The following is an 11,699-nucleotide window of genomic DNA, read 5'->3' on the forward strand; positions in this document are numbered from 1 at the left end:
CTTAACCAAGCATTATGTTTTGGCTTCAGATGCCAAAAGAAAGCAAAATATTTAAGGCCAAGATTAAACAGAGAGTGTAATTCAAAAGTTAATTATTTAAAGAAAAAAAAATCAACTAAGTAGAGAGAAACTGAAACTCTTCTTTATTGTGACAGTCATTCTCTGGGTATTATACAAAAAGGGCTGCAGTCTGATAAAGGGAGAAACCCGTATGCTTTGTAGTCAAGCCCAACTTGAATATGACAAATATGGTTTTATTCTGGATTCTCATATTCAGAATGTTTGAGTTCCAGTTTTACCATCTCTAAAATGAGAGCAAAACCACCTATCTCATAGAGTTACAGAAACAATGAACTGAAACATAATAGTTTCCTTCCCTGAAATTAAAAATACTTAATTTCTGAGGTTTAATACTAACAGACATTGGCTTGAAAAACTCTTTAAAGAGGCAGCAGCAAATACCTAGTTTCAAGGGTTTTCTCTGCTGTATCTGCTCTACTGAGTTCTGTGAATGACGTACTGACAATTACCAAATATAAAATAAATTGAGGAATGTCTTAAAACTGCAGATGTGGGAAAAAACTAAAAGGGCAATCCTTACAACCTTTAACGAAAGCAGTAACATCAAAATCCAATATTTAGTGCAACAGAAGAAAGTTAAGAAAACTCAAAGTGTATTTTAGTAATGAAGGGAGAAAAGAGTCATTTTACATTTTTAGTGCCAGTGATTTCTGGAATAATAAAAACTCCAAACTATGCACCTTTTAATTTACTTTTTAAAACTAATTATTTAATCCACCCAAACATTAAGTAACATATCAGAATGGAAAGAAAATCTGGGCATACATGTTTTAAATTATAATGGCCAATTAATGTTTTTAATTACACAAAAATCAGTATTAAAATTAAAACTACAATATATGGGAGTAGGTAAGTACACTATCTAATTTTTAAATTATAGCTAGGTATATTTTATGAAAGAAAATCTAAGAACAGATCATGGATCAAACATCTCTGCATTATAATTCCCATACCATATGTATAATAGCAACTCTTTTTAAATAGCTCAAGCTGCTTTAAAGCACTATACAACTAATTCTCCCAATGCTACTTTGAAAAACCCAAGTTAAACTGCTTACTTAATCAAGGCAGTGGGTACACTAGAACTCTCATTCATATACTAAATGTTCTTCTGTATCTCCAGTTCCACATACTAGTAAGGTCCACTTTCAATTACACTTCCACTATTAGAACAGATGAAAAGTTAAACATTCAATCAGTCAGGAGAATGTGAAATATTACCATGGTTTACCCAACTATTATAATCTCTCAGGCACTGAGAACTCAGCATAAAGTGGTTATTCCATGATGTCAGCATGGAAACGTATCCATTATTTAGCTATCCATTAATTCAGCCAATCTTCCTTTGGATCTACTTATAGCTCAGGCTGCTATAGGTTGTTCTAAACCTAACTTGGATTGTCCTAGTGTTAGTTTAGGTTATCTTCATTCTTAAATCTACTGTTTGATTGTATATTTCTCAGTTATAGCTTATATTGTGGTCTGTGTCAAATTAATCCTCATTCAGAAGCCTGAAATCCTCATTTATTTTGGTTGTCCTTCTCTGTAGCTTTTTTAAATTTTATTTTGAGGTGGAGTCTCGCTCTGTTGCCCAGGCTGGAGTGCAGTGGCATGATCTCGGCTCACTGCAACCTCCGCCTCCCGGGTTCAAGTGATTCTCCTGCCTCAGCCTTCCAAGCACCTAAGATTACGGGTGCCTACCATCATGCCCAGCTAATTTTTTGTATTTTTAGTAGAGACAGGGTTTCACCGTGTTAGGCAGGATGGTCTTGATCTCCTAACCTCGTGATCCACCTGCCTTGGCCTCCCAAAGTGCTGGGATTACAGGCATCAGCCACCATGCCTGGCCCTCTGTAGCTTTTTTAGGTTCATGACTATTCCCAAAACATGAGGTGGCTTAACAATCGCTTTCTTGAACCTGAACTAGTAGAAAATGTTTTGTTCCCTACAGCAGGGGTTATTAAATTTAGCTTAACATTATGCCATAATTTCTTAAATCATTTCTTACTCATGGACTTTTAGAGATCAAATAATCCAATCTTTCGTAATCATAAGCAATGCTTCAATAAATATCTTCGTATATGTATCTATACCATGTGTTTGTCATAAATACATGCATACCTGTACCAAAAAAAAAAAAAAACTAGAGGAGGCCAGGAGCAGTGGCTCGTGTCTGTAATCCGAGCACTTCGGGAGGCCGAGGCAGGCGGATTCCCTGAAGTCAGGAGTTCGAGTCGAGACCAGCCTTGCCAACATGGTGAAACCTCATCTCTACTAAATATACAAAAATTAGCTGGGCATGGTGGCACACGTAATCCCAGCTACACAGGAGGCTGAGGCAGGAGAATTCCTTGAGCCCGGGAGACGGAGGATGTAGTTGAGCCAAGACTGTGCCACTGCACTCCAGCCTGACAGAGCGAGACTGTCTTTAAAAAAAAAAAAAAAAAAGCTAGAGGAAAACTTGACAAAGGGCTAGAGCTGTATTTTTAATGCTGACCCACTTATATTTTTAATGTTGACCCCCTATCACTCAATTCAATGGCTCTCCTGAAGGCTATCTTCTCTCAAAGAAACATGAGCTCATAAAACTAATAAAAAAAATTTTCTCAGTAATATTACACTTACCTTCATTTTAAGCCTAAAAATAATTTTTATTCTCAGTAATATTACACTTACCTTCCTTTAAGCCTAAACCCCTCCCCAAAATTGTTTACTTTTACTGGCAAAGGTAGCACAGCCAATGAAGAAAATTTTAAGTTTAAAATTCAGGCATATAAAAAATATAGATGACTTTAAACCTATCACGATAAACTACGGTTAATAAATCTTCAAAACTCACATTCTATCACTCCAAGTATCTGAAAATTCTTACATTTTCGGCTGAAAAAAGCCTTTCCACAACCTTCGAAAAGGAGATGTGTTTGAGATATTTTTTAAGTAGCCCCAGGAATCATGCAACTGGACAGTCTCTTAGAGATCAACTAATCCAACTAGGCCCAAGATTTTATTGTTGAGGAAAATGAGGTCACGGGACTTTAAGAGAGTAGACTACATCTGGACGAAATCAGAACCCCATGCTTCCTGCCCTGGACACTAGCTCTTGCCCTTGACACTACACAAGGGCATTCACTTACACAGATCAGTTATTATACTGTTGGTGCCTAAACCACCTTTCATGACATAAAGTAATCAATCAATTATTGATTGACACTTCATATCAGACTGTACTCAGTGTTGCAGGAGACTCATATGTATATAGCAGTCCTCAACATACATTTGGGGTGTGTGTGTGTGTGTGTGTGTGTGTGCGTGTGTGTATGCAATCCAAGGGCTTGGGGGCTGTAAGTACAGTTGGAAGCAGATGAGGAAGTGCACTGAGTACCAAAGAGTGAGCGACAAGGAATAAAAATCTAAGCAGAATTTAATCTAAATTTTCCTTAAAGAGACTATTATAACATAAATCATAATGTTTAAATCTACATCTTTCAAAAAGTCCCATTTAGCTTGTGAATTCACCTTGTTCTGCCTACTTTAGACCTATCACTTCATACATGCAGAAGATATAGCTCTTACTAAAACATTAATATGTATATACCTCTTCCTTGGCATGGATAAGGTTGTTTAATTAAAACTTACATGTATTTAGTTAAATACAAAGACTAGCATCTGCTCAAATTAACTGATGTCTTTTTCTGAAAAATTAAAATAAAAATAAAATTTTAGTAGAAAAAAACAGAAATGTGAGACACAGTGATTTGTTGGTACCAATTATGTTTCAACTTAAAACTCTTAACTTGAAAATACTTAGGTTCTAGCAAGTATACTGCTGTCAGAGCGAAATACTTATTCAGATGACAAAATCCAAATTTAAAAATCTATCACATTTTTAAATGGCTGACAAAAACCACCACCAAATCTAAGCAGTGCCTAAACTTGATTACTTTTTTGTATTTGAGCCAAAAGAACAAATCTGAATGTTAACCTGGGAAAAATGGTAGTGTATATACGAACACAACACTTCTTAAATAACAGCTCTGATTTTTAAAAATCACTCTTCTAACTTCATAATAACCCCTTGAAAAGAAGATGGGGATTTTAATCACTTAGGATTAAAAAAAATAGGATTTAAAGCAAGATTAACTGTTGCTTTAAGTCTTGACATTTCCCTATTAATAACCCTAAAGCTTAATGAGGCACAACAGATTTAAGAATTGAAATTGTTAATGAAAAAGAAAATTAAGGACAGTTTGGTGCTCTATACCATCATGAAAATAATCTGCTCCAGAAAGATTTTAGTCTCTACATGTAAAAAGCAAGAAATATCTAAAAAGTATTTCCTTGTAAAATCTCAGTCTGAACTTTTAGAAGGTTAGGGCAGACTTTGATGAAAGTATAAAAGTCAGAAAGTACCTATGGTTTAATATATAGTGTTTTAAAAACAAGTGAGGATACATAAAATACTGTTTTTCAAATTACACCTAGTATGTTTGTAACCTTTCACCTATTAGTAATGACCGCATGCCTCAAGTTAAGAAAAGCAAAGAAATATACATAACTGTGTCTAGTAAGTAAACTCTGAACACCAAGTTAACTCTTCTTATTTTCACAAGAACTTATGTTTCAAAAGCACATGAAAATCAAATAAATACTGAGAATAAACACGATTTACACTTAAAATCACTGCTGAATCCTTGCCACATTCTAGAACAAAGCTGCTTCTTTTTATGTATACTTCATATGTTGAATATTAATTTCTTTAAAATCTGTACCTAATAGGTGAAAAACACATAAGGTTTATCCATCGTTTTTCCAAGGTCCTCACGCAGGGTTGAAACCAGGATCTGTTAAGTCTTAGAAATGAATTTCTATGAACATTAAAATACTGTCCTAGATGCCCCATAACCCATACAAACGTATTTAAATTAGAACAATGGGGTTATGCAATTAAGATGTGAACTAGAAAAACAACACAGGTTTCTAATATATTAATTAACTAGGTCAATGGTAAAAGCAACATTGATTTTTTTTCTTAACAATAAACCTATGTAAAGATTTGAAAGTCACTTGTATTATTTAAAAGGAAAGCTAGTTATAACTTTGTGATATAATATTTTATACTTTTATCAGGTAAGCTGAATGCTCAAATTCGGATTTTTTAATATAAAAAAGGCTAACATCTTAAAATAAGACTAAAGAAAATCTTGATGTTGAACATCATAACATGCAAGATTGACTAGAATTATGTAAATCTACATAACAAGACTAACTAAACTAGTAATTTCTCTAAGTAAAATAAGGTACACAGACACTTCAGTTAACAATTCAAGGCACAGAGTCCTTTGAATATTCAATTATATTTAGCTTGTAAAAAAACAAGGGTGCTCCGTATCTGCACTAATAACCTACATATTCTCTTTTCTAAAACTATCGGCTGCTTAGTCTGGAATTTAAAAAAAAAAGAAAAAAAAAACCTAGACTGTTAATAGCAGCTGACTGCAGGACAGCCACTTTCACCTTGCAGATAGAGCTTTGTTGTTCGGGCGTGTAAAGCAGACCATTAGCACAAAGTCATTTCTAATCTCAGTTGTACAATCCACATGGTGCACTTAACCCTAAAACTCATGTTGCGTAAACTGCTCTGCTTCCACTCCTAATGACCTTTCAAATCATTCAATGTTACTGCTTGACTTGTACTCATGAATTAGAGGACTGCCAAATAACTTGATGAGAAAGTTATAATTTCTCCTTTCCTGAAGGTTTAAAAAAGTCAACATTGGTATAGAAGAAACTGAGAAAGAACATACAATGGAAAAGCACATTATTTAATGCTTATAAACGATATTTTTAGAAACACTTAAGAAAAAACTGACAGAAAATTCACACCTGACTTCAAGGCAGATGACTAAAACAGAAAATGAGAGTGCTCCACTTGTAACACACATAGATTTCCCACAGTATTCATGACCAACAAATGTCTCTTCGTGTCCTAACTTCGCTGCACAGTATTCAATTAAAACTCACTTTTAGATGAAAAAGTTTGTGAAAATAACCATCTGCTGCTGGATTCACACTGAGGATTTACTGTCTGTAAATAAGACGACCCAATGCTGTCCAAAAATTAGTGTTTTTAAAGTAAGATTTGTAAAAAATGTATCACATCTCCTTTGTTAAAAAAAAATCCTAATACACAGGAGTCTTTAAGTTTGTCTTGCCTTCCATTTAACTTCAAATACTTTAGAAGCAGGACTTTTTTCCTTCTTCCTCCTTCAGCCTAACCTCTTTAATAAACCCCATTTTTAAAGAAGAAACAATAAATGAAGTGACAGGAGGTCAAAGAATGAGGAGTGTGCGCTGGGAGAATAAAGGGCGGTTTTATAACAGGAGGTACTTTTGTTAGCAAGTGACTGGCAGGTCTCCTCCCCCAAGTTAGAAGGAATTCCATCCACTCTCCAAAACTGCAAAGGCCAAAAATGTCTAGTCTAATAGTTCTGAAATCCCCGAGTCAGGAGAGAGCCGAGTGGCGGATGGCGAGTGGGGGAAGGGAGAAAGACCGGTAGGAGACTAAAGAACAAAAGAAGAAATCCAAGAAAGGGAAAAGGAACGCTGGGACCCTGGCCTGGGAGGCAGGGGTGGGGAGAGACAAAGTGAGAGAGCACGACCCGGGAGGAGAGCGTGGAGCCGGGCAGGGACAGGCGTGCCGCACCATGGCGCACCATGGACAGGGCTCCGCGCGGCGGCGGCCCACGACCGTCTAGGGGTTGCGGGAGAAAGCGCGAGAGACTGCGGAGGCCAGCCCCGTCCAGCCCCTGCCCCCGCCCCAGCAGCACTCACCCCCCGGCGGGCCGGAGCGCGCCAGGCCCTGACCCGTGAAGACCACGGAGCGGGGTAATCCACACCACCTGTCTCCACCCCCGGAGCAGGCACTTCCGAGCTGCGTCCGCACTTTTCGGGGCTGCCAGCTGGCAGTAGAGCACCTCTCCCCTTGCCCCGAGGGCGACAGGCAGGGGGACCCTCCGTGGATTTTCCTGCCCCGCGGCGAGGGTGGGCACGCCCCTTTCCCGCAACCTTCGAGGGACCCCACGGCAGGCGGAGACCGACTTGGGACCAGGGCACTGCACCCGCCCAGCTAGAGGGTCCCGGCCGAGGCTGTGTGAAGTGGCCTCCAGGCCTGGGCTGGCTGGTCGGGAGGAGCCTGGGGGCATCCTCGGGTTGGAGGCGGCGGAAAGTTGGGCTGCCCCCGGGCTGGGAACCCGCAGCGTGCAGTGGCGAGGGAACCTGCGCCCGGACTGGAGCAGGTGCTTCCTGCCGCGGAGGAGCCTCTTAGTAGAGATTAAATGAAAAGGCTCGCTGGCTCTCTCCCGAGGGTATGAAAAGTACGGAAGGCTCCAGGCAAAGGCGCCCCCGGGGCGCATATAGGGCACAGGCAGCCGGACAGAGAAAGGAGCAGCCGCGTAACGGAACTTCTCGCCCGGGGGAGATACTAGGCGTGAGAGGCCAGACTCGTTCTACAGGCAGGCGCTGACCGGCAGAGACTCCTCCGGGCAAGAGGGCCAGATTTTCTTTCCAGGTGGGACGAACACAGAATATTGTGAGGGCAAGAGAAGAAGAAAAGGAGGCAACTCCAGACTGGGATAAAGACAATAGGACAGTAGAGCCCTTGAGCACCGGGAGGCGCACGGGTGCAGGGTGGGGTAAGGTGGAGGCAAGTCCCGTAACTAAGACACCAGAGTGAGAATTCCTACTGTAAACTCGCGACCCATCCCTGCAGAAATAAACAAAAAAATTGGAGCAAAGTACTATGCGAGGGGCGAAAGGCACAGAAAACTGCAAAACCTGGGAGTTATCCTGCCTCACCCTCCTGCTGCCTGGGGACACCCCCCGCGAGCTTGCTCGGCCCCGAAGAAGGAGCAGAGGGGACCCGCAATCCAGCCCCTAGAGCCCCGCCAGGAAAGGCGCGAGAGACCTACTGGCCCCGGCAACCCTGCCCCGGCGCCCGGACGGAGCCCGATGCCTGCGCAGCTACCGGCCGCGCGGCGCGGCGCGGCGCGGCGTGGCACCTCCCTTCCCGGGTGCGCAGCCCGGCCCCGCAGCGGCGCGGGGAACAAAGGGACCCGGCGCCGCCCGCCCCACCCCGCCCGTGGCCCGGCCCGCGGGGACCGCCGCGTACCTGAAGCAGGGCCGCCAGCAGCGGCAGCAGGGTCCGCAGCGCTCCCGCTATCCGGCACATGGAGGCGGAGAGGGGCCGAGCGAAGAGCCGGAGGAGGCGGCGGCGGCGGCGGCGGCGGCGGAGGAGGAGGAGGCAGCGGCAGCACCAACAGCGGCGCGGAGAAACGGCTCCAGGCAGTTTCCACCCCCTTCCCTTCCCCTCCCCTCCCCACCCCCTTCTTCGCTGCTCTCCGCTCCCCGCCAATGGAGAGCGAGCTGATGACAAATAGCGGGCCGCGGAGTCCGCGGGACTCGCACCAGGAGTAATAAAACAGACCCAGAGATCAAGGAGCTGGGGAGGGGGCGGGGGAACAGGGAGGGAGAGCGTGTGAGCGTCTGCGAGTGTGTGGAGGCGGCTGCTGTGGCAGCGCAGGCGGCTCGGCTCCGGCCCGGAGCGCAGCGGAAGCCGCGAGGGATGCAGCGGCGGGGACCTTGGCCGGTGGAGGATGTGGAGGTGGAAGTGGAGCGGATGGCGCTCCCCAAGAGCTCCGCCACGCGAGGTTTCGGGCTCGTGGTTTTGCTTCCTCCGGGTCCCCGCTCCAGGGCCGCTCGGCGCGACGAAGACGCCGGGGACAGCGCCGCGGGGAGGGCGCTCCGGGTCGTGCGTGCTGCACCCACAAAGAGCAGCAGTCCCGCCACTCCGCGCCTCCGCTGCGTGGGGGCCGAGGGGCGCTTCTCGGCTCCTCTTTCCGGTCCCCCGGCGAGTTGGAGACTGTTCTCCGGCCTCGGCCGCAAGGGGGTGAGGCGAGGGGCCGGCGCGGTCTCTCCCGCCGCGGCTCCGTCCCGCGCAGCTGCTGCCGCAGCCGCCCCTGCTGCCCGCGCACCGGCACCCGCCCGCCGGTCCTCGCCCTGCGCCGCTCACTCGCGCGCGCCGCCCTCCGTCGCCGACCGCGCACCCCGCTCGGCCTCCGCTGCGCGACCTGGGCGAGCCGCCGCCGCTCTCCCCGCGCTCGCCCCACGCGCTGCCTGGCTGCGCGGCCCGCTCCCCTCTCCTATTCCTCCCGCCGCCGCCGCCGCCCTCGCCCCCGCCTCCCTCCTCCGCCGAGCCTCCCCGCCCGCGTCGTGGCCAATCGGAGGCCACCAAGCTGCGGCTGTAGCCGGCCGGATCCGCGGCAGCCGCCCGCCCCCGCCCCGCCGAAGCGCCCCGTATTTTGCTGCAGCCCGCGGGGGGTCGCCGGAGGGAAGCCTAGAGTGCGCCGAGCACCGCCCCGGCAGGTGGAGGGGCTGCGGGAAATAAAATAACTTGGGCAGGAACTTGATTGGTAGCAGGTTCATCTTTGGTCCGCGGTAGGGAATCTAATGGAGATGAAGAATGGTGGGGAAGGGGGGGCGGTGTCTCCTTGGGAGCCTAACGTACGCTTCTTTATTTTGTCATTCTTTGGAGATGGGTAATCTTTCCTGGCAGGGGCAGACACAGCAAACTAAGGACGCAGGCCAAGCTCATCCTAGCTATTGTTGTCTGAGGCGCTCGCCGGGAGCCACCTGCGGGCGGGGGAGGGCGGAGGCCGCGGCTCCTCTCTGGAGCTCGCACCTTCAGCTCCCACCCTTGAGGATGTACTGGAACAGCCCAAGTTTTTGTGTTCTTGTTTTGTTTTCTTTTGTCCCCTCTGGGAGTTTGAGAGTGCATGTTTGTTATTTTATTTGAAATCTCCCGTTTTCTATTTCTATTACTACCTGTTAGTGGTACTGTTCACATTTGGGGCCAACAGTTTCAGGGTACTTTTACCCTCTCCTACCACCCCTAACAACAATTTTTAAAAAAGAGAGAAACTAAAAGCCGGAACTTGAGAAAATAGGATTATATAAAAGATAAAATGACTGATACAGAATTCTCACCACGTAAAGGATTTCTGCTGGCTTCCTTTAAGGCATGAACTTCAAGTGCAACACAGTGAGAGACTTTACAAGTTTGAGTCACAAGCATTTGTGGAATGGAGCGGGGGATGGGGAGCAGTTTTTGTTTTTTCTAATTCTGGTGAGGTAATAAATTTTCCGGAACCTTTTTTAAGAAAGGTTTACAAGTAAATAGAAATATCCGTTTTATGTAAGCTTTTCAACACTTGGGAGATCGGTGAACTTCATTGCAGTTAATGAATATTTTCTGCCTTTATTGCTTGCTTTTCTGCTTTGGGTGACTGAAATATTAACTTTATTTGAGTTTCAAGATACCGATCATTTAAGAATCTGATGATGAACCTTTAAAAACCAGCTACTAATTTCTTGACATAACTGATACAGCTTTTAATAATGTACTGTTGCTGGCTAGGCTTTTAAAAATTTAATATTCATAGGGAGGCTTATTCAATTTTAATTAAAACATAATATTGTAAGTTTTTTATGAAACAAAATTTTTCCTGGATTTTCTTTCTTTTCAAAAGAATAAGAAAGGTTATGTTAATTAAATTTAAAAGATGAGATGAAACACTTAATATAGTAATCAGAAGTGCTTGTTCTTACCCTTTCTCTTCTTTTTTTGCTAGATATTATTGTCACACTATTGCTAGTCCGCCTAAAAGTTATCTTTGCAATAGAGTATTTATAAATTATGCTTTCTGGGAGTCATGCAAAATAATAGTAAAAATTCAGTTGAGATATGGGGATATGTTTGTTGTATTCCAGAGTGAGATGTAGAGATCTCATCTCCATGGCTAAGATTTAAGCTTCGACCCTCGTCGTGGGGTTTCGACTGTATCCTCATCACTCCTAGCAGTACCCATTGATGTTTATTGCCATTCTGATTAATTTAAAGGTGGAACAAATTTCAACATGAATAACTCTATTTCTTGTTAGTAGTATTTACTTGAAGCTTTAAACATGTCCTTTATAAATTAAGCACTTATGATTTCAAAATCTCCTTTGGAATGGCTGTCAGTCAAGGAATTCTCTGATTCCAACAGTTTTTGATCCTTTAAGTAAGCACTTGCAGCATGTTTTAAAAGTCCAATTTGCATGCCTCTCACTCTTCAGTGGTTGTGAATTGTTTTAGCATCTTGCCTCACTTTAAGTTGATCACCTGGTCAGCCAAATCTTGCTAATAATAAATAATAGGCCTCTGATTACAAGAAGGAATAGTCTAGTCTAAAATCATGCTGTTGGAGACTTTGTGCATCCATTTGATGTTAATGAAAGTAGATCTGGTGTTGACTATGATATCCAAACACAGCTTTACCTCAGTAATACCATACCTAAGATTAGCTAACGGGGCCATTCACTGTCCTGGGCAACTGATGACCAAACTCGCAGATTTTTAGCCCCTGCTCAAAGCATTACTTGTCTGAAGACTGGTTTTCCATCAGCCTGTAGAACTCCAGGGATGTAGGGGATTGTCAGTGACCCAGAGAAACAACCAGGTGTTATTAGGGGTTGGATGGATGGAGACAAGAAAAAAATATAGAATAATATAAAACATGACT

At 44.2% G+C, this 11,699-nt stretch overlaps 1 protein-coding gene across 2 annotated transcripts in view; it reads right to left on the reverse strand.

Moving 5' to 3' along the window:
* CDH2 (cadherin 2) overlaps positions 1-8,416 on the reverse strand; it is a 244,252-nt gene extending 235,836 nt beyond the window's left edge. For both annotated transcript variants that reach the window (XM_017025514.3, NM_001792.5), the window contains exon 1: positions 8,249-8,416. In XM_017025514.3, coding sequence (XP_016881003.1) covers positions 8,249-8,308 — 60 coding nt within the window. In that variant the 5' untranslated portion in view covers positions 8,309-8,416. The remainder of the gene's footprint in view (positions 1-8,248) is intronic.

The sequence above is a fragment of the Homo sapiens genome, chromosome 18 (genome assembly GCF_000001405.40).
Source record: "Homo sapiens chromosome 18, GRCh38.p14 Primary Assembly".
NCBI lineage: Eukaryota > Metazoa > Chordata > Mammalia > Primates > Hominidae > Homo > Homo sapiens.